Source organism: Homo sapiens, chromosome 1 (assembly GCF_000001405.40).
Source record: "Homo sapiens chromosome 1, GRCh38.p14 Primary Assembly".
Taxonomy (NCBI): Eukaryota; Metazoa; Chordata; class Mammalia; order Primates; family Hominidae; genus Homo; species Homo sapiens.
The window spans coordinates 100,129,237-100,151,241 of record NC_000001.11 but is presented as its reverse complement, the minus strand read 5'-3'; the positions used below and the strand labels follow the sequence as shown (position 1 = coordinate 100,151,241).

The window sequence follows — 22,005 nt, the reverse complement described above, 5'->3', positions numbered from 1 at the left end:
TGGTGCTAAGATGGAGAATGAAGTACAGAAGATGGGTTGGCGAATAGAATCAGGTGGTAGAGGCAGAAGATGATTTCTAATTTTGGCAGTCTTTTTTTTTTTTTTTTTTTTTTTTGAGGAGTTTCTCTCTGGTTGCCCAGGCTAGAGTGCAATGGTGCAATCTCGGCTCACTTGGCAAATTTCGCCTCCCAGGTTCAAGTGATTCTCCTGCCTCAGCCTCCTGAGTAGCTTACAGGCATGCACCACCACGCCACGCCCCACTAATTTCGTATTTTTAGTAGAGACAGGGTTTCACCATATTGGTCAGGCTGGTCTCGAACTCCTGACCTCAGGTGATTCACCTGCCTTGGCCTCCCAAAGTGCTGGGATTACAGGTGTAAGCCACCACACCTGGCCCTTAGCAGTAAATTTGATGCACCTGTGGAACATGCAAGTTGTGGTAATTGTGCAGGTGAATCTGAAGTTCAAGAAGAGGTTTGTTGAATCTGAAAATTCTGCAGGACAAGAAATAGCTGTATGCATATCCCACAGTCACTTTCTCATGATATGTGAAGACAAATTAACAGTTAGGAAAACAATAATCCTGACCTAAGGCTGGCATGTTGAAGGACAAACTTATCTTCCTTTAAGGTACTTGATACCATTGTCAGAAACATACCATTAAGCTAAATGGGCCACAGAACTGTTTCTGTATGATAATTCTTGGGTGTGTATGTATATTTTATCAAACATAAATGAGATTATGCCTGTTGTAGAATATTGTTTATTTCTGGGCATAAATTGTTGAATGATGCAAAACAAATTTTATGACACAAATTAGTATTGCTTGACACAATAAAAAAAGGTTAATTATTTAATGATATATCTTCATTTAGGTTCCCTTGATTGGGGACATGGGTAACTAACTTAAACAAACTACCTTACTTGACATAAAACTTATAACAAGGGAAAAAAGTTAACAACTTAAAGAGATAATAAAATCAAAGCCTATTATGTTATTAAAAAGATTCACGAGTTACTACCACTACTATTACTAGTTAATATTTATTGAATTACTCTGTGCTTGGAACTGTTCTATGCATTTTACTTGTGTTATCTCATTTGATGCTCACAACAACCTTGTGAGGTAGGTATTATTGTTATCATCATCATCCCCATTTTAAAAGGAGGAAATTGAGGCACAAAGAGATTAGGTAGCATGCCCAAGGTCGCACAACTGAAGATGGTAGGTTTGGAATTTGAACCGAGACAGTCTGACAAGATATATGAGACTAAAGTCAGGAATTTTAAATTGGTTAGGCTTCTTATTTACAAATCATATAATCATAGAACTACAGGATAAAAATAGTTATTTCAGAATATCATAATATCTAAAATTAGTAATTCTGAACCTTTGTCTTGGCAAATGTACCATCAATTAAGACAATTTTTACAAATAAAGGCAGAAACAAAATAGGGATAAGATGCAGAAGAGAATAACAGTCCTACCATATATTTGGTTTAGTATTTTCTTGTGCATAGAAACCAGTCATGAGTTAAATAAGGCCTAAATTTGAGAAGGTTTTTGGTTTCATTATCTAATTTCTATTTTATTCCAAATTATTTTCCCAAACAGAAGAGAACATACTTATTGTTTGTGCCTACATATATAAAAAATGACCTGATAAAAGATATGAGATAGCTAATCAACTTCAGAAATTATTTCAAATTTGTGAATTATGTTTGTAAGTATCTTTTTGGAAGTTCTAACTAGACAATTATCCAACAAAATAATTAAGTGAAATAATCTTTTTTCTTTGAAAACAGCTCTTCAGTTTTGTGTTTGTCATGGACAGATTCTGACAATATATACATGTATGGCTCTGGAAATTTGAAGGTGACTTCATTAATTAATTGTGTTTATTAATTGTGAATATCTCTGAATTGTCTGCATTTGAGAAAATCACAATTGTGCTTTCCAGATCTGTAGGGAAAAATGTCCACATATAAGTCAAATTCTCAGATTGGCCCTTGTTACAATCAATCACTACCTCTTGAACTTAAGAAATAAAAAATATTAAATAAAATCAAAGGAAGATAAATTTCCAAAATTAATACAAACAGAAATACGCTAATTATGTGTTGACATGTTATGTATGTTTCAGATCACCAAGTCAACGGTTCAACTACTTTACCAATCTCCATAAATACGGATGGATAATATAATTCAAGATGCCCTTCTAAAGAGGATTACTTTGGTGAATTCTCTAATGTTTGGATTTCTGAAGTAAAAAGAAAAGCTATTACCAAAGTTTAATGAGGCCACAGCATTTTTTAAAGTTCATATTATTTGCTATTTAAAGTATATATTTTTTTGATATAAAAATATAATTAAAAAATTTTTTTTGGTGGAAGACAGATGATGCTCAAATTTCTTTTCCATTAAGCAGTTGTTTCTGGTGATGAAGAATGATTTGGTAAAGCAGTTAACAAAACATTTTCCAAAGACACCAGAGGGTCTGTATAGTACTGCAAAGCAGGACTGAATCCCTTCTGCTGCAAATACTGGATTCGACCTTGGTCAATCAGCAATTTACAAAGATGCCCTATTTTCTTCTTTTCTTCAACACTAAGAAGCCTAAATTGAATAAACACACACAAAACATTGTTAAAATTTTGCAAAAGTTTATAAAAAATTATTTTTGTCACTATTTATTGAGAGACTGTTAACTAACCCATAATGTACTAAGTACTTTGTCCCATGCTTCCAAGACACATTATATTTATGACCACAATAAAAGATGTGTATATTTTAGCTTATTCTAAAATTAGATTATAAAATACATTTTCATGAATTGTTGATAATAGTCATCTAAAGTACAGTACAATATAATATTTCTCCTTTAGTATCATGCATTACAAAAGTAGTCTCTTACCCAGGCAAACAATCAGCGCCATCATCTGTGATTCTGTATCCTCCATCATCATGCTCTTCACTATCATCATTCTGATTATCTTGCCTCTTTGTGGTACTATTTGAGGTTTCCAAAGATGTTTTCCGCATCCCACAAGTTGCCCAACTACTCATTCGCTGGAAATAATGGAATTCCACTGCTCCAAGGCCTAGAGCCCTGAAATATTCTTTGCCCACATAATGTCTCCAATCACACCTGTGGTGACAACAGAGTGCAATAACAATGCCAGCCACAGGGTTCCACTTCTCTGGGACATTTTTTTCATTTCCTTCCTTGGCCAAAGTGTAAATTTCTTTTTCTGTTTTATCATTCTTTATGCGTTTGGCTAAAGGTTCTTCATTCCTTTCCTCAAAACTGGCAGCATAGGTTTCAACCAAACATCGTAATGCAAGATCTGCAAACACAATTATGTGGCCCCCCCAAACCACATCATCTTTAAAAATAAATACTTTTTACATTTATTAAGCAGTACTGTTTTTAAAAACTCAACAATAAAAACAGCAAAAACCTACTCAGCTTTATATTTGTAATAATACTATCATGAATTATCAACTTCATTCAAATTTGCTCTTCTATCTTCTCAATTTCTTTAATGATTTATTCTGCATAAAGCCTACTTCCCAATAAAGCTATCTGAAGCTTAAGATCTACAATTTGAAGAACTTTTACCCAACTACCTGAATTGTCTCTCACTTTTCCTACCTTAGCTGAGGAAATGACTTGTATGGGAAAACTTTATTCACCTACACTTACATTCTAGTTTAAGAAAGGAAAAATGAAGGAAGGAAGGAAGGGAGGGAGGAAGGGCAGACAAATCTGTTTAGGTTGATGCTAGGTCAAGATGCTTGTCTTGAAGAGGCTCATAGCAAATAGTGATGAACTGAAGAGTTGAAAAGAGGGCGTCAGAACAGAATCTGGAAAGCAGGCCTCACTGAGTAGCCTTACTGTATTTATTCATTTATTTAACAAACATTTACTGAATGCCTTTCATGTGCAAAGCACTGAGGATACAATTATTAATATACACAAACTTAAGAGGCAGATGTACTCCACATTACAATGAAAATATTTTAGTATATTTTAAAACTAAATAAATGGATTTTTGATGACTATGGCTATTTCCCATCGAAAACTCCTACACTGTTGACAATACTGGAAAGACCCAAAATGTAGGACCCATATCTTCTTAATCATTAGATTGTCATGTTGTGTCTGTTCAATCAAAAACATATACATATTTTAAAATTTTATTACCCTAAGATATCACAAATGACTATTAAATGATCTGATATTTCACTAGTAAATTTAATTCAATATATGAATTTAAGTCAACAAACATTAGAAACCCATTATTTGCAGAAAGTGATAGCTAATCTATTATTTCATAAACTATTATTTTCTGACAAAATACATTTAGTCATTGTTTTATTCATATTTGACTTAAGTAAGTGATTTTCAGAAATGTGAATAACCAGATAAATTATTAAAAGAATTAAGTTATTTCAGGCCAGGCGCAGTAGCTCACGCCGGCTGAGGTGGGCAGATCACGAGGTCAGGAGATGGAGACCTTCCTGGCTAACACGGTGAAATCCCGTCTCTACTAAAAATACAAAAATTAGCCGGGCGTGGTGGCACGAGTCTGTAGTCCCAGCAATTCGGGAGGCTGAGGCAGGAGAATCGCTTGAAGCCGGGAGGCGGAGGTTGCAGTGAGCCGAGATTGCGCCACTGCACTCCAGTCTGGGCGACAGAGCGAGACTCCGTCTCGAAGAAAAAAAAAAAAGAATTAAGTTATTTCAGAATTAGAAGGAGCTTTAGCAATTTATCTCAATTCATCTTTTATAAAGAACTTAAAAGACAAAGCCACATATGCAGAAAGGGACAAGGAAACACAGCAAATTGGTAGCCAAGATTATTCATTCATTCAAATATTCACTGTGTTCCTGTTATATAGCAAGCATCGTACTAAGTATATACCATATACTCAAAAAATTCAGAGCATGGTGGAAGAATTAGATATATAAACAGATAATTAAAATACCACAAGGTAAAAATATGCAGAGGGTATTATGATAACACCAAGGAGGCATATCTTATTTAAGGGAGCTCCCTGAGAGTGGTGACAACTGAGGTGAAGGATGAGTAAAAATTGACCAGTTGTTTTGTTTGGGTGAGTAGGTGAATGGGGGTGAAATTCCAGATATAGTAGAAATAGTACAGTCTATGGAAAAGCACACAGGGTTTGATGTTGCTGAACAGCAAAGTAGGAGACAGGGAATGTAAAGAGAGGAAGGCTGAAGCCAGATTGAGACTAAAACGTTATGTCAAAGAGTTTGGACTATATCAGGAAGTACCGAAGAGTTTAAAGGGAAAGACACATTAGTTGTGTAGCAGATGGGTCTGAGATTGATTGACCGATTGAGATAGGGTCTTGCTCTGTCACCCAGGCTGCAGTGCAGTGGTGCTATCCCAGTTGACTGCAGACTCAGACTCTTAGGCTCAAGTGATCCTCCCACCTCAGCCTCCTGAATAGCTGGGACTACATGCACAAGCTATCGTGCCCAACAAATTTCTGTAGAGATGGGGTCTTCCTATGTGCCCAAGCTAATCCTGAACTCCTAGCCTCAAGCAATCATCTCACCTCAGCCTCCAGTGTTGGGTTTCCAGGCATAAGCCACTGTGCCTGGCCTGAATATTAGTATTTTAAGGACAGAAGTGGAAGGAGACTGTGAAATAAACAGAAGAATGGCATAGATGTAGGGGAAGAACCAGGAAATAAGAGTATCGCAAAAGAGAAGAAAATGGAATTTCAAAAAGGGTAAGCAACTGCAGCAGAGACAAAAGGAGGATTCAGATACAGTGAATCAAGGGAAAAAATTATGTGGAACATGAGAAATGGCCACTGTAGGTCAAAAGAGTGTACTCCCTCCTACCCCCGGGATGGAACTGGTTTACTTTAGAAGACTTTTATGAGGCTTAAATGAGATAAGGTATGCAAAAGTACAGTCATGCATTGCTTAACTATTGGTGTATGTTTTGGGAAATGCATTAGGCGATTTCATCATTGTAGGAACATCAGAGTGTACTACACAAACCTAGATGGTGTAGTGTAGCCTACTACACACCTAGGGTGTATGGCACAGCCTATTGCTCCTAAGCTACAAACCTGTACAGCATGTTACTGAATACTGTAGGCAACTGTAACACAATGGTATTTGTGTATCTAAATACAAAAAAGGTACAGTAAAAATATGGTATAATTTTATAGGACCACTGTCATATATGAGTCCATTGTTGACCAAATCATCGTTATGTTGTACATGACTATAGTCTTAAAAACTATGAAGGCCAACACAAATATATAGTACTCAATGCCATTTCCAGCCAATATGAATAATATCTATGGATGCTCCAAGTAATCCATATGGGTAGATGATGAAACTAGCAAAAGTTAGGAAGATGATGTAACAATAATTAACATTTATTGAGCACTATTATGTGCCAGACACTTTACATGCAACCCGGTAAATTATTAATATATTAGTATCTCTGTTTTATAGATGAGGTAACCAAAGCTCAGAAAGGTTAAGTAATTTGACAAGGTTACACAACAAAGCTGAAGGCTAGACTATCTGATTCTAAAGCACATGCTGTTTCCACTTTACCATGCTAGATCTGATGGATCAAAGTGCTAAGACAAGACATCTTAGATTTTTTTTTTTTGTCTAACATTTATTTTTTTCTTTTTCCCCAGAATCCTGAAACACAATAGTCTTTTAGTAGAAGAGGTTTCTGAGTTCTTTCTAAGCAACTACTCTAAAAAATCAGTAGCTTCTAGGTGGAATCATACAGTTTCCATAAATGGTCTTATTTTCCTTTTCTGGTTGAAATTTAACCCAAAGAACTTTAAGGTCTAATGTGATGCAGTATTTACATACAAAACTCTTAATTCATCCTGCAAAATGGCCAATATGAGCAGATAAATAGGAAAGCTATGCATCTAATAAAGCACAGGGCCAGTGCTCTATAAAGATTATTGAGTTGTAAACATAAGATATCTATTCAAAAGAGACCACTGAAATGGTTGGGGCCAGGTTAGGCCAAAACTTAATGCATTAATGTAAACATTATCAGTATGTTTACGTACCTGTTGCCATACCACACAGATGCTTTCCAATTCCTACCACAGGTAGTTTTTCTTCTCTTAGCACAGGAATCTTGTCTGAAATGGAAATGAGAATTAACTGTCTAGTGAAATAAAGTACATATTAATGTGGCCTTCCAAAAGAAAGAACTAATTAGAGTCTCTGAATTTTAGCCTGAAAGAGACTCAAACAAAAATTATCACTTTATGGAACCCAACATATAACATAAGAACTTGTTTAGGGTTCATAACATCAGAAAGTTAATATATTCAGCTAAATAATTTTAAATACATTGATTTCTATACAAATGCTGGGTTGCTTTTCATGGCTGGATTAAAATTGGTGAATGGAAGAGGTTGCAAAGATATGTTTGCATTATTTTCTTTGGATAATCTGAAAAATAGAAAAGGTATAAAAAGGGCACTACAGAGGTTGATTGAGGAGTTTGTGTGTGTATGTGTCTGTGTGTGTTTTGTGTATGGAATATGAATCCCACAGTGATGACTTCTTTTGTACAATTTAAAATTCTAGGAAGTATCTTTTACACATTAGCTAGGCAGAGAAATATCTCATTTTCTTTCATGGTTTAGGTAAAGTCACGTTAACTGCAGGCAGAAGGCTAGTTTATAGTTTGAACAGACTCAAAATTAATTTAAACAGGACAAAGAAACAACAGAAGTACATATTATAAAACTTTTAAACTCTTCCCTAATATAACACTTCATTTCCACTTGATACTGAAAATTTTTAAAATTCTCAACCTTAATTCAATTTACATCTATTTAAAAACATTATATAAAACATTCTATATTAACAATGAATTGATTTGACTGTTTTCCCTGAAGCACAGTTCTGCATGATTGGATTTCTAAGCAACCTCAGAGTTTAAAACAGTTATGATTTATTTGTAGACCAATGGAAAGTTACACAACTTACTCAAACACAAGTGTTGAATATCAATTTGAAGTCTTTCAAACACTGAATTTTTCTTTCTGTGTTTTCCATCCACCTGCACAAACAGAACATTATTGTAATAATCACTTCTTACATTTAAAAAAGCTTTATGAAAATAAAAAGATTTTTATTGGTTTTCAAAATTCAGAGCAACAGAACATATTTAAAAATTAAGATTGTACATTCTTTGATGAGAACTTCAAAATATCACACTTTTTAAAAAAGATTTGAAAATGTTTATCAATTATTACATAGACATTATTTCCTTTAACCCTAAAAATTCCCAATTCACTGACAAAGGAACTGAAGTTCACAGATCTTAAGTGATTTATCTAAGATTGTCTACTAGCTCCTTTATCTTTGTCACTCCTGGTGTACTATTTTTGGTTCGCTCCTCTTCTTGCTCTCCTGAAAGATCACAACCATTCTAATCTATACCTATGTGCCCACGACCGGCTGATCTACATTTGTGGCTCAGGCCTCTCCAATGGGCATCAGACACATACTCAATTGTGAACTAGAAAGCTCTACTTCACCAGCAAACTGGACACATTCAGAACTGAACTCATTATTTCTGTCTCCAAAACCATCCTTCCTCTTGTGCCTCCTTCATTCCTTATCTCAGGAAAGAACACCACTTAGTCACCTAAGCCATAAAAATCCTACCGAGAATTACTCCTTATCTCTCATATTCAATTACTAACAAATCACCAACTCTTGTGGCTTCCAACATCTTAATATTTCTCATACTCTTGCCCTCCTCTCCATCCCAATGCAATAGCTTTAGCTCTGGCCTCTTTCTTACTTGGATTGTTGGACAAAAATTATCTTTATTATTAATCTCTCTAAGTATCAGACTCTTCTAATATAGTTTTAATGGTGCTGCTAGGATAAACTTTGAAAAATTTCCTTCTACTTTACCAACTCTTACATATTATTTCAATCTCATCTCAACTGTCACTTCTGCAAAAACTTCTATGACCCACACTAGACTGAGGTTGGTGCTCTATCTTCATGCTCCCATAGGATTGGGTACTTACCACTATCAAAACACACTTAGCATACTGAACACAAATATTTATATGTCTACTCCACTAGACGTAAGCTTCCTCAAAGCCAAGAACTAAATCTTTTTTCTATTGTATCCCCACCAGACAGCAGCATAGTCAAACTCCTTCCTTAGCATAAAATATGAGACCTTCTATAGGCTAGCCATCCTCTCCAGTCCCATCATTGCTGAACTCTACTTTGCACCATGTACTCCCATTATACAGGAATGTTTCCATATTTTCCTGTTATTTCAGGTATTTGGTTACACTGTTCTTGCTTCCTAGAATGCTTCTCAAACTCTCTAACAAACACCAATTCACCTTTCAAGATTTAGTTCAAGCATCACCTTTTCTACATAGTCATTCTCCATCTCTTCCCTGCAATAGAACTTGTCACTCCCTTCTTTGAAACCATGCTGTACTCTGTGCAGACCTTTCTCGTATTTTAACACTTCACTACAATCATTTATGTATTTGCCTGGGTCTCTTTTCTAAATATAAGTAATAAAGTGGCTGGGCACAGTGGCTCACACTTGTAATTCCAGCACTTTGGAAGGGTAAGGTGGGAGGATGGCTTAAGCTCAGGAGTTCGACACCAGCCTGGGCGACAAAGTGAGACCCTGTCTCCACAAAAAATTTTAAAAAATTACCTGGGCATGGTGGCGTGGGACTATAGTCCCAGCTACTCATGAGGCTGAAATGGGAGGATTATATGAGCCCAGGAGGTCAAGGCTGCAGTGAGCCACGATCCTGCCACTGTACTTCAGCCTGGGTGGGGCCTGGCAGTATGCTCAAAAATTGTTTAATGAATGAAGGGCAAGTGGCAAAGATAGGAGTAGAGCCCAAGACTTTTAACTCCTAGCTTGAGCTTGGCTCTTTCTATATATTTTCCTGTCTCTGCAAATAATTTTAAGAATTCAGATCAATGGACTATCAAAACTTAGATTAAAAAATTCACCTTCAGTTTGAGTTATCAATACAATTAGAACTAATAAAAAGCTACAACAAACAGATAAAGAAAATTCCTTTCCTTTCTTTTAAGAAATGTTTCTATCACTTTTTTCCTGAATACAAAAAATGAAAACAAGTTTGGTTACTAACACAGAGCAATGGTTTCACTTACCTTGAATCTTGTGGTCACCTTTTCCACTAGGATGAAGTGAACTTTTTCAGCATCTTTTAAGGCAATATCAACCCAATGAGATAATTTTCCCTTTCCCGCTCCAAACTCAACAAAGCATCTTCTTGGACCAAGTAACTTTAAATTTTCAATGTTACCTAAAATAGAAGCCTGCAAACTTCACAAGATTATTTTATAAACTAGAGTAAACACATTTGGTTCAAATGGGAAAACAGCAAGGTAATTTCTGCATAAGGCAGTATGCTTACATTGATAATTTGTATTTGACTTAAAATTTTTCTCTCTTGCCTTTAAATATTTAATATACGGTACTCAGAATCACATCCATGCCCTCAATTTTTTGTATATGTTTCTATATATTTTTGAAATGGAAATATTTGGTACCCTCAAAGGTAAACAAAATAAAATCTTATTAATAATTACATTTAAAACAGTTTTAACAAATGAACAAAGGCCATGTTTAGTAGTTACTATAGCCTAAACATACCTGCTGTTTCAGGTGCTTGGTTGCAGAATCGCCATTTTTAGGGTCATTAAGTGCATCGTGTAATGCTGGATGGGACATAATATGATCTTTAAGTGTAGAATTCAAGCCTGTGCCAAATATAAGCACAACAGCTTAAGCAGCCAAACATGTAATTGTAGGATTCTGAACAATAGTAGTAACATATTTTAAACCAGAATGGTATCAACTCATATACCACCTAATTACTCTAAAATAATTGAACTTGCAACTTTAGGCAGTCTTACCTTCACTTGCTTTTCTCAATTTCTTAATTAACTTTTCCAACTGCTCTTCAGATAGAGAAGAAATTGGAACCTATATACAAAAATAAAACTAAATAATGTAGCCAAAAATTGCTTTAAAGTAGCATAACAGAGACTGAGTAGAGGTTTACCAACTGGGCAAATCCCATGACAGCTTAGGCTCTTCTCTCTATCAAGCCTTTTCCCTAAGCTGCCATCAGAATTGTCCAACTGCTAAATTTCTACTCCGTCTTTGCTGTGCTACTTTAATTTTCCTAACTTCCTCAAGGTCAAGAACAAGTCTAGGCTCAGAAGGGTTCAAGAATCAAAGGGGATTCAGGGCCATATTGTAGCTTCTTTTGTTATGGGGCATGAGCTGGTCTGGGTCTAGGAACTAACCATCACTAACAATATTAAGTCTACAGGAAAATGCATTCTAAATTAAAAACAGACTTGAGACAAAAATTAGAACATGCCTTATTCACATCATGAAGAGAGCTTATAAATATCTTTTAAAATTAAATATTAAGTCAATGTACTTACTAATTGTTCAGGTATTTCTGTTTCATCTCTTAAGCCTGCATTAATATCTTGAATATAGAAATCCTTAACAAAAACAAAACCATAAAAGAACTGTTAATAATGTGTAGCTCACAAAAATTAAACTAAAATACTGATTCTTCCCTTTATCCCCTGCTCTGTACCTGCCATCCTCCCTTCCTCCATTCATTTCTTCATGAAATCACTATTGAATATTTACTCTAGGCCCTAGTTTGCTTTAGGTATTGGGCACTCCACCACAGTAGATAACAAAAGTGACAAAAATATGTGTTCGTGGATCTTATATTCTAGTGAGGTGATTATCTGAATAAGCACTTACAGTTTAAAGAAATTCATTTGTAACACTTATTAAAAGTTCTACAGCCTAGACTGTTGACAGCATACACTGAGAACTGTAATAATTTTGTCTTATAGTGCTAAAGTAAAAACAGCAAAGTACTAACTACACAATGCTGCTTATCAGACATGCAGCATGACCAAAAACAGATAAGACAAAGATATTATAACAATAAGTCTGATTTCTTCTATTTTAAAATATTAATTAAAACTTGAAAATATAAATGTCCTGTCACACTATTTAAATTAACGTAATGAAGCCAGGCACAGTGGCTCAGGCCTGTAATCCTAGCACTTTGGGAGGCCAAGGCAGAAGGATCCCTTGAACCCAGGAATTTGAGACCAGCCTGGGCAATATAGGGAGACCCTGTCTCTAAAATAAACAAAGAAACAAACAAACACACATAATGAAATCTTTCTAGTCTGGCTTCAGAAATACAGATTCTAGGTAAGGATCTGCATTACCATTGTCCAACAGAACTTTCTGCAATGATGGAAATGTTCTACATCTGCTCTGGCCAATATGGCAGCCACTGAAATATGACTAGTGTGACTGAGAAACTAGATTTTTAATTTTATTTAGTTTTAATTCAAATTTAAATAGTCATATGTGGCTAGTGGCTGCCATACTGAACGGTGTGGATCTAGATGAATGAAAAAGTACTGTTTCTACAAATCCTGTTTCAAAAGTGAAAATAACTCTTGGGGACATTATGTTATGTGTAGTAAATGGACTTTTGTTACATGGAGGCAGAAAGGTAACATCCTGATTGTGTGTTGCTAGCTTTACCTATATGGACAGAATGTGTGTTGCTTGCAATGGAAACTGGTGATTGAGTGGAATGAGTGAAGACTGCAGGAATTACAATGTTTTACTGCAGGAATTACAATGTTTTACTGCAGGAATTACAATGTTTTACTGGATAACGGAAAAAAACTATAATAGAAAACTAGCTGTTAAGTATTAGAATTTGATGTACTCTTAGTTCAAAATGGTTGCCAAGAGTGCTCCAGGTAACTTACGTTGTAGATTAGATTTTTAAATGTGAAAACTATTTATACTGGAGAAATTTATAACCAACTAACTTTTATTTAGTATACAAAATTTAAAAAAATTGTTCACCAGTTTCCCAAAGTAAAGCAGAATAGTGATATGCCTTTACCTGGGTTCCAAGTGTCCTACTCTACATAGTGAACCAGATAAATACTGCTTTGCATTTCTTTCTTCGTCTCATCATTCCACCGCTTTTCTCCATTTCCTTGCCACTGTGTGTTGGTATGCAGTGAAACTCACCCAAGGGTTTCCATTTTTAATAAATTTATCTATCCTCTCAAACTTTTCTCTGAACACATATTGCACATGCTTGCTTTAACTGAAACCTGGAACTTAGGTAAGGAAGATATTTGCAAACAAAGCCAATGTTCTCTCTTTCTATTAAAGGGGCTAAGTCCTAAGTAGGTGGTGGTGGTGAGGGTCATCATTTTTCTTCTACACCATCTTAATGTAAAAATACTTTCTAAACTTATGCCATCTGGCCCAGTGGTTCTCAACTGGGAGGCATTTGGAAATGAATGGGAGTATTTTGTTGTCAAAGTAACTGAGCGGTGCTATTGCAAGACATCCTCCCATAAGTCTCGATTTTCTATGAGTCTTAGAAGCAAAGGCACTGATTATCTTTTTTCCCAGACTACCTTTTCAAGGGAGCTTGTATACCAAGCACCCTTGGAAGACAGAAATGGTGTCACCTCCTGGATCGCATGGCAGCCCTTATTGTACAGTGTAATAAATAAATGTCTACTTATGGAACAAAAGTCAGGCAGGTTTGCCTACTACCCAATTTAAAAATATTTGTATTTCCTGGCTGGATTTGGTGGCTCACGCCTATAATCCTAGCACTTTGGGAGGCTGAGGCAGGAGTACTGCTTGACACCAGCAGTTCGAGACCAGCCTGGGCAACACAGCGAGAACCCCGTCTCTATAAAAAAATAAAAAAATAAGCCAGGTGTGGTGTCGTTTGCCTACAGTCCCAGCTAGTCATGAGGCTGAGGTGAGAGGATTGCTTGAGTCCAGGAGTTCAAGGCTGCAGTGAGCTACGATCACGCCACTGCACTCCAGCCTGAGTGACAGAGTGAGACCCTATCTCTTTAAAAAAAAATTATATTTCCTGAGCTTGGGTTCCTCAGCTATGAAACAAGTACATTCCATGTGCAGCATCTACCAAGGCATTACATACCACATTTCACCATTCAATTTTACTGATCAAACACTTACAGGTTTTGGTTTCTCTCTTGAGTTACATTTTTTCAAATGCTTTGCTAGTTGATCTTCATATACTGTGCTAAATTTAAAGAGAAAATTATTTCAAATGAGACTTGTGCCAATTACTGTTTCCAGCACAAAAAAAAACCCGTATCTGATCCACACTTACTGTTTTGGATCTAAAGGACACAGGATTCTTTTCCGAGCATCTTCTTCCTAATAAATTAAGAGATACATTTATTTAAATAAAATATCAAGTTTATTGCTTACAGATACCAGATATAACTTCAGTGTCTCTGTAATCTCAAAACAAGGTAAGGAAACCTTACAAGGACATAATGAAAAGTTGGCAAAATCAGGTCCCAAGGGTTTAACAAAAACTCTCCAGTGTACTGGCTTAAATACATATGAACAAATACTGCTTTGGACAAACAAGGGTCTATAGCTTCAAACAGGGTATAGAGAAGGCCTACATATGGTGTCTGAAATCTAAGATAGCATCAACTATTATATGTATGACTATTTTATGCACAACCAAGAAAGAAAAAAATGCTGCCTATTTCATGTTAATTGACAAATAGTTGTATATATTTATCACATATTAGGTTTGTACAAAAGTAATTGTGATTTTTATGGCAATAAAAATAATATACACTATTATTTATGTATGGTTTTAATACAACATAATGTTTTCAAATATGTATACATTGTGGAATGGCTAAATCAAGCTAATTAACATGTATTGCCTCACATACTAATCATTTTTTGGAAAATGCTGCCCATTGACATATGGATTTTAAGATGTATCCTGATTTTAGAATGTTAAAATGTAAAAATAAAGTTTCTTAGAAACAATGGAACATGGCATTTTAACCATTTGGATGTGCCATATTTTACTGGCTTTGCAACTTTTTACTATCAGTTACATCCTACTCATTCCTAAGTTACATCACTTAATGACTGGGAATACATTCTGAGAAATATATCTTTAGGTGATTTTGTCATTGGGAGAACATCATACAGTATAGTAACACAAACCTAGATAGTATAGCCTACTGTACATCTAGCCTATATAGTATAGCCTATTGCTACTAGGCTGTAAACCTGTACAGCATGTTACCATACTAAATACTGTAGGCAATTGTAACACAATGTAAGTATTTGTGTATCTAAACATATCTAAACATAGAAAAGGTACAGTAAAAATACAGTATTATAACCTTATGGGACCACCATCATATATGCGGTCTGTTGTTGACTGAAATGTCATTATGTGGCACATGACTATATGAACTGGGAAAAAAGAAAGGAAAATTGATAATGTTGGCAATTCTACCCAATATTCCACATGAATCTGTATAAATAGGGGTCATATAACAGTTAAGAACACAGGCCAGCCAGACTGCCTAGGTATGATACCCAGCTCTACCTACCAGCTACGATCCCTATGACCTTAGTTAGGTAGGCTTACTGCCTCATCTGAAAGATGAGAACAAAAATATGTCTTACCTTCTAAGGTTTGAACACATTAAGTGAGCTAATAGTTAACAAAACAAAACTGCCTAGCCCAGTGCTGTACATAGAGTAAGTGGTGACTAAGTGTCTGCTATTATTATTCTTTTAAAAATTTATTTCTGTTCGAATGTGCCTCTCAGCATGTCCATGAAGCTATTCACACTGAATTTCATGGGAAAGCTAAGAAATTTTTTTTTTGAAAATACTATATATTCAATAGAAGAAAAAGAAAATACTGTATATAATTTCTTCCTTATTGCTGACTTTAAATCCTAACCTCCATGTAAAAGACTATTCTAACCCCCAGAGCCTAACTGTAGCATAGGAAAAAAAAAGCACATTTAAAATTTATTAGTTGAATTTAGAAACAGGAATTCTCAATCTTGGCACTATTGACGTTTTGGGCAGGTAATTCTTTTGAGGGGGTGAGTGCAGGGGGCTGTCCTGTGATTTGTAGGAGGTTTAGCAGCATTTCTGGTCTCTATCCATTAGATGTCAGTGATACTCCTCAGTTTGACAACCAAAATGTCTTCATTTTGCCAAGTGTTCACTGGAGGCAAAATCAGTCCCAGTCGAGAACCACTGGGTAAAAATGAGTGGTGTCATCACAGCTATATATGACACTTAGAAAAAAAGATGGAAACACAACATCCAGTTACATCATAAATTACAGATTCAGGAGGATAGCCACAATTTAAAACGAGATAGTAGTCAATAAAAGTGTTTCCACTTGATGTTTTGCGGTCTCTCTTCAAGTGTCTAATGACAATATGTCGTTCCTCTATAGGAATACTAATCAGCTTGTAAGGATTTATTCATATTCTACTATCATCACTATTTGTTTTCACCTTCCATATATCTGGATAAGGTGGAGTCTAAATCCTTCTCCTATCATAACTCTCATTCTTCAACAAGGGATGTTTGCCAGTCCCCTCAAAACCAGTCAATAGACTATGGGCATAATTCAGAGTTCCCACAACAAATCACGTCTCCCATATTCCAAAACAAGAATGTCCTTGTTTCAGTATGCTTCACTTTTGGTAAATGCCAGTCAAAACAAAATAGGAAGTAGACTACAACTATGATGGAGAGTGGCAGATGAAGGGGGTCAGGGGACTGATCTGCACTGGATATTGTCTAGAAGAATAAATTCCTTAAGAAATAAAATAATGCAAATAATACTGAACATTCAGAAGCATGAAATCTGATGCTGATCGCTTTGGTTTATTCTTTATAGTTCTGTGGAACTATAAGGACATGCTCTCTTCCTATGAGCATTTTGCTCCTCTGGTTTTTATTTTCCCATCTCATATATATCCTAAAGTAATATACATATATACAAATATAAAGTGTTTGATAGTACATTTATATGCATAATTATCAAACAAAATTGTATGCTTTGTTCTCAATTGTAAAAGGTCAATTCGTATATATTTAAAAATCTTTCCTTCCCATTCCAGCAAAGTTGCATTCTTAAAAACTGTAAGTCGAAAAAAATTTTTTTTTCTTTTTTGAGATTCAGTCTGGCTGTCACCCAGGCTGGAATGCAGTGGTGTGATCTTGGATTATTGCCACCTCCACCTCCTGGGTTCAAGCGATTCTCCTGCCTCAGCCTCCCGAGTAGCTGGGGTTACAGGCTCGCACCACCACGATTTTCTTAATTTTAGTAGCTCGCGCCACGGCTGATTTTCTTATTTTTAGTAGAGAGAGGGTTTCATCATGTTGGCCAGGCTGGTCTCGAGCTCCTGACCTCAAGTGATCCGCCCGCCTCGGCCTCCCAAAGTGCTGGGATTACAGGCGTGAGCCACCGCGCCGGGCCTCAAGTCTAAATTTTTAAAAGAAAGTTTCTTCCAACCGCATTCACGAGAAGTGCTTCTCTTTCATGAAATAACAATTAGAACACAACTAGTGAAACCTTTGGGACTTCAATCACTACTTTTTCTAAACTACCACTTTCCAGCAGGAAGACGGAGCGGTAGCTTGGGGTAAAAATTAAAACCTAGCATTACCATGAGTTAAGATCGAGATAAATAGATCAAAATAAATGGGTCACTGCTGGCGCTTTACTTAGAAAAATAAAAAATTTCTCATCACTAGAACTCATAATCGCTCCGCAAGGAGGGCAAAACTGGGTTTATTAAAGTGAAAGCTGGAGAATCCAGGGGACACAAGCAGAAAGCTGTCAAAGAGGGGAGGGGCCGGGTTCCAGCACCGACAGGACCAGGATACTTATTTCCGACTCTTGAGAGAGTAGGGCGATACCACACCTCCGCGGCTCCAGCGTGTTCACCACAAAATCTTTTCCCTGCGGCCACCACCATCCTGCAGAACCGTTTCTTCTTTTCCACATAGTAACCGCATCTACCCTCAGCTGGAAAACCAGGCGCGTGCGGCGACGTCGCGGAGGTCGCCATAATTCTAGGGCTCGCTTCCGGTGTCCAGCATCCGGCAACCAGAAGAAAAGTTAGAAGCTTCCTTCGGGTCTCCTTCCCTTAACAAACATGGCTGCCTCAGCCCCCGCGCCACACAGGTTAATACCCGGAACTACCACAACCGTCTTCCCTTTATCCTCCGCAGAACCGGAAGAATCCGATGGTGGCTGGCGAGGGCCAAGTCTCTTACGCCTTCCCCTCGTTTCTCCCTCCCCGCCTCCTCCGCAGAAGCCGAGCGCCAAACTCAAACTTTATCAGGACCCGGACCTCTCAGGCTAATCCCGAGGGCCGGGCCTGTTGGGCTTTTCTGCACACCAGCCGAGGCAGCGAGCCAACATGAGCCAAGTGCTGTTCCACCAACTAGTCCCGTTGCAGGTGAAATGCAAAGACTGTGAGGAGAGGTAAGGTCCGCGTCATCCAGTGCCCGCGGGTGGCGGTTGGGGTCAGGCCAATGGGGAAAGATGGCGGTTCTGGCCCGTGGGATCCACCTTGCACCTAGGTGTCGAGTCGGCCCCCCTAGGAAGCGGATAGGGAACCCAGAGGGCCCGGTGGTTACCTCTCTCACCAAGTCGGCCGTTGCAGAGGGGACTGGAGGAAGGGTGTGAGGAGTTAGGAAGCCGGCTCACATCAAGTTAATGTCAAAAACCCTACCTGTGCACGGAATCGTGAAGATTATAGCCCTACTCTTCCCTTTTGACAGATAAGAACTCTGGCCCAGAGAAGTTAAAAAAATTTACGTGAGGGCTCACAGCCAGTTCATGGCAGGGTCAGGACTAGAACTCAGGCCTTGGCTCCGAGCCTTTCCCCCTCGTTCTCTTTTGAAGTATGTTGGCAGTAAAGTTCAACTTTTAAAAACCTACCAATTTGGTGGCGTACTTTGGCTCTTCACATCAGTTGCTTTAAAAAAGTAAATTACATTTAACCGACTAAAAATGAGAAAAGCAGAAACGTCATTAATTCATTCAATAAATATTGCCTCCTTGTAAAACACCTTACTGGGCACTGGGAATACAGTGGTCAGGAAAAACAGTCCTTTTCTTCATGGAGTTTACAATCACTGGAGGAAATAAAGACCAGTCGCACAGAGAAGTGCAACTTTGATTAAGGAGGTGGTATTATTGGGGCGTAAATAGATTTGACCAGAGGTCAGGAGACTTACTTTTTTTTTCTCAGTTCTAACACTCAATGGTTGTCTCTTTTTTTCTCTGAACGTTCTTTCCTCATTTGTAAAACTGATATAACATGCGTATTCACGTGTTTGTAATGAGGATCAGGTGTGAAATCTTTTGCGTATTCACGTGTTTGTAATGAGGATCAGGTGTGAAATCGTATGTGAAAACTAAGTGGTGTACAAATGTAACATAAAAAATGAAGACATTGCCTTATTGAGTTGCCAGTAATGTCAAACTGTAGTATATATAGTTCAGAATTCGGTCAAAAATCAATGGCAAGCCGGTCAAGGAGATGGTCCCAAAACCAGCAGCTGCATATGGAGATCTGTAGGTTTAGTTGATCATTCTTTTAATGCTGTCCAGTATGGTAGCCACTAGCCACATGTGGTTATTAGACATTTGAAATGGGGCTTATCTGAATTGTTGTGCTTTACATATGAAAATGCACGTTGGATTTTTAAGACTTACTATGAAAAAAGAATGTAAAATATGTCAATTTTTATATTATGTGTTAAATGGCAATATTTTTGGGTATATTGGGTTAAATACAATGTATTATTAAAATTAATTTCACCTGCTTTTAAAAGTCTTTTTAAAATGTGACTTCTAGAAAATTTAAAAGTAGGCTAGGTATGGTGGCTCACACCCGTAGTCCCAGCACTTTAGGAGGCCAAGACAGGAGGATTGCTTGAGCCTAAGCTTGAGGTTACAGTGAGCTACTATTTGTGCCACTGTACTCCAGCCTGGGTGATAGAGCGAGATCCTGTCTCTGAAAAAAAAAAAAGAAAAAGAAAAAAATTAAAATTACATACCTGGCTCACATTTGTGGCTTACATTGTATCTCCATTGGACAACACTGTTTTAGAATGATTATAGAAAGATAAAGGAGGCCATGACTTTGGTTTCAATATGGAAACTCCTAGATGGTCTCTTTCTGGTTACATTGCCATCACAGTTAATCTAAAAACTCAATTTCTCTGCTTAGAAACCTTTAATATATTCCTATTATCTGTATAATAGGGGTCAGCAAACTGGAGCACATGGGCCAGTTGGCTCACTGTTTTCGTAAATAAACTTTTCTTGGAATACAGCCATGCTCATTTGTTTACATATTGTAGCTGCTTTTGCACAGGAAGGGCAGAGATGAGTAATTGTGACAGAGACCTTATGGCCCGCAAAGCCTAAAATATTTGCTATCTGGCCCTTTACAGAATAATTTGGTGATCCTTGACCTATAGGAAGAACAACCCAGACTCTCTCTCTTTCTCTCTCTCTTTTTTTTTTTTTTTCTAGACAGAGTCTCGCTCTGTTGCCCAGACTGGAGTATTGTAGCACGATTACAGCTCACTGCAGCCTTGACCTCCTGGGCCCAAGGGTTCCCCTCACCTTAGCCTCCTGAGTAGCTGCAATTACAGGCGCATACCACCACGCCTGGCTTTTTTTTGTTGTTAATTTAATTTAAAAGAGACGGGGTCTCCCTGTATTGCCCAGGCTGGTCTTGAACACCTGGGCTCAAGTGATCCTCTCACCCCAGCCTCCCAAAATTCGGGGATTATAGGCGTGAGCCACCACGCCCAGCCCAGACGCCTTGGTTGAGTATTTGAGGCCAGTTCAGCTCAACAAATACTGGCAAATGTCTGCTGTGTCTCAGGAACTGTCCTAAGTGTGGAGGATGTAAATACGCACCCCCCTCTCCGTCCCCAACAACAACAAAAGCCAACAAAAACCTCTTTTCATTCTGTCCCTCAAGGAACTCACATTTTAATAGGGGAAATAAGATTTTCCTTGAACAGGCACCATAGCACAGATTAGGAGTTCAGGCTCTGGAGCCAGATTGCCTGGGTTTAAGTCCCAGTTCTTCCACTTACTGACAGATCTTGTACAATTTCCTTCTCTGTGTCTCATCTTTAAGTTGATGGTAATAACAGTACCTACTTCATGGTATTATGAGAATGGAATGAATTATACATATGAACTGCTTACAACAGTGACTAGAGCATAATAAATGTTCACTAAATTTTAGGTATTAATGTGTGACAAATGCATAAAGTAATATAAGTACACTAAAGTCAGAGAAGAAGGAAATTCAGTTGAGGACAGTGGTAATGATCAGGGAACTTCATCTGGTGGAAAATTATGCAAAATTTTGGAACCCATGATTTGACACTAATCTGCCTTTTCAGTTTTGTTTCCTAAGCTTATCTCTCCAATATGAAAGTCATACAAGCATTCTTGTTACCTTCTGAATATACCTGATACTCATTCTATACTATTACCCCTGCTGTTCCTTGTGCCTCAAATGCTTTTTTCTTTCATAACTTTCAGGTATGTCTTAAATCCTTTCACTATAAGGACCCTTCAAAGTTGCCTAAGTTGAAATGAATTGCCATTATTCAGTTATTAGATAGTGTGGTGTAGGTGAAAGATCTGAGTTTTCATTTGGGCTCTGTAATGTGACCTTAAACCATTATTTGGGCCTTAAGTTCTTCTTTTGTAAAATAAATAATATTTACTTATCAAGATTATTGTTAAATAAGATGATATATGTAGAATACCTGGCAGGTACTCAGTAGTGTTGGTAACCCTTCCCTCCCCTCTCATGGAGCCCTAAAATGCAATCAGAAGCAAATCTAGCAAAAAGTCATTAATCTCATCTCAATTTGAGGACAGAGACCATGGTTTTTTTTGTTTTGTTTTGTTTGTGTCATCCTATGTTCAAAAATTATTATTTTTTTTTTTTTA

General features: G+C 37.1%; 3 protein-coding genes across 21 annotated transcripts in view, besides 7 other annotated features; 2 read left to right on the top strand and 1 right to left on the bottom strand.

Annotated features, from left to right (window-relative positions):
- Positions 1-2,794, top strand: part of LRRC39 (leucine rich repeat containing 39) — a 31,220-nt gene extending 28,426 nt beyond the window's left edge. For 4 of the 5 annotated variants that reach the window (XM_047445522.1, NM_001256387.2, NM_144620.4 and 1 more), the window contains one exon: positions 2,145-2,794. In XM_047445522.1, the coding sequence (XP_047301478.1) occupies positions 2,145-2,200 (56 nt within the window). In that variant the 3' untranslated portion in view covers positions 2,201-2,794. Of the gene's footprint in view, positions 1-1,806; positions 1,877-2,144 lie in introns of all 5 variants that reach the window. The other variant, NM_001256385.2, reaches the window with a different exon arrangement.
- TRMT13 (tRNA methyltransferase 13) lies at positions 746-18,079 on the bottom strand. Of its 13 annotated transcripts, none has more exons than NR_135078.2 (11): positions 17,927-18,079; positions 14,314-14,360; positions 14,157-14,223; positions 11,531-11,593; positions 10,991-11,060; positions 10,728-10,792; positions 10,223-10,390; positions 8,033-8,105; positions 7,099-7,173; positions 2,916-3,149; positions 746-2,617 (listed from the first exon to the last, which is right to left on the bottom strand). NR_135078.2 is itself a non-coding variant. In NM_019083.3 (11 exons), exons 1-11 carry the CDS (start codon positions 18,071-18,073, stop codon positions 2,422-2,424), a joined length of 1,446 nt encoding a protein of 481 aa, NP_061956.2. In that variant the 5' UTR covers positions 18,074-18,079; the 3' UTR covers positions 746-2,421. The 13 variants fall into 13 exon arrangements, 12 of the variants coding, with proteins under 12 accessions (NP_061956.2, NP_001380338.1, NP_001380340.1 ...); NM_019083.3 differs by having other exon boundaries at positions 2,916-3,348; positions 10,728-10,834; NM_001393409.1 differs by having other exon boundaries at positions 2,916-3,348.
- Positions 16,095-16,389: a silencer, noted in NCBI's record as "tiled region #13340; HepG2 Repressive non-DNase unmatched - State 3:PromF". NCBI's record gives its function as "represses a minimal TATA promoter and a strong SV40 promoter by Sharpr-MPRA in HepG2 cells {active_cell/tissue: HepG2}" and the evidence as "EXISTENCE:reporter gene assay evidence [ECO:0000049][PMID:27701403]".
- Positions 17,865-18,394: an enhancer, noted in NCBI's record as "active region_1375". NCBI's record gives its function as "activates an Ori minimal core promoter by ATAC-STARR-seq in GM12878 lymphoblastoid cells {active_cell/tissue: GM12878}" and the evidence as "EXISTENCE:reporter gene assay evidence [ECO:0000049][PMID:35858748]".
- Positions 17,865-18,531: a biological region, named in NCBI's record as "H3K27ac hESC enhancer GRCh37_chr1:100598267-100598869".
- Positions 17,929-18,531: an enhancer, noted in NCBI's record as "H3K27ac hESC enhancer chr1:100598267-100598869 (GRCh37/hg19 assembly coordinates)". NCBI's record gives its function as "activates a minimal SCP1, AML or CMV promoter by ChIP-STARR-seq in naive and primed H9 embryonic stem cells {active_cell/tissue: H9 hESC(naive and primed)}" and the evidence as "EXISTENCE:reporter gene assay evidence [ECO:0000049][PMID:30033119]".
- SASS6 (SAS-6 centriolar assembly protein) overlaps positions 18,312-22,005 on the top strand; it is a 49,361-nt gene continuing 45,667 nt past the window's right edge. For all 3 annotated transcript variants that reach the window (NM_001304829.2, NM_194292.3, XM_047447889.1), the window contains exon 1: positions 18,312-18,492. Coding sequence is in view for 1 of the 3 variants with exons in the window: in NM_194292.3 (NP_919268.1) it covers positions 18,428-18,492 (65 nt within the window). In the remaining 2 variants the exon portion in view is untranslated. The remainder of the gene's footprint in view (positions 18,493-22,005) is intronic.
- Positions 18,405-18,524: an enhancer, noted in NCBI's record as "active region_1374". NCBI's record gives its function as "activates an Ori minimal core promoter by ATAC-STARR-seq in GM12878 lymphoblastoid cells {active_cell/tissue: GM12878}" and the evidence as "EXISTENCE:reporter gene assay evidence [ECO:0000049][PMID:35858748]".
- Positions 18,527-18,690: a silencer, noted in NCBI's record as "fragment chr1:100598108-100598271 (GRCh37/hg19 assembly coordinates)". NCBI's record gives its function as "represses an EF-1alpha promoter that drives an FKBP-Casp9 reporter gene in an ReSE screen in phorbol 12-myristate 13-acetate-treated (for megakaryocytic differentiation) K562 erythroleukemia cells {active_cell/tissue: K562(+PMA)}" and the evidence as "EXISTENCE:reporter gene assay evidence [ECO:0000049][PMID:32094911]".
- Positions 20,305-20,354: an enhancer, noted in NCBI's record as "active region_1373". NCBI's record gives its function as "activates an Ori minimal core promoter by ATAC-STARR-seq in GM12878 lymphoblastoid cells {active_cell/tissue: GM12878}" and the evidence as "EXISTENCE:reporter gene assay evidence [ECO:0000049][PMID:35858748]".

Bases quoted from the DNA above. Each gene is read 5' to 3' on its own strand.
- TRMT13 (NM_019083.3), bottom strand. From the start codon at position 18,073: ATGGCGACCTCCGCGACGTCGCCGCACGCGCCTGGTTTTCCAGCTGAG. The intron at 11,594-14,156 runs GTAAGTGTTTGA...GTTTTTGTTAAG, and splicing joins CAAGAGAGAAACCAAAACCT to GATTTCTATATTCAAGATAT. The intron at 11,061-11,530 runs GTAAGTACATTG...TTTTGTATATAG, and splicing joins CAGAAATACCTGAACAATTA to GTTCCAATTTCTTCTCTATC.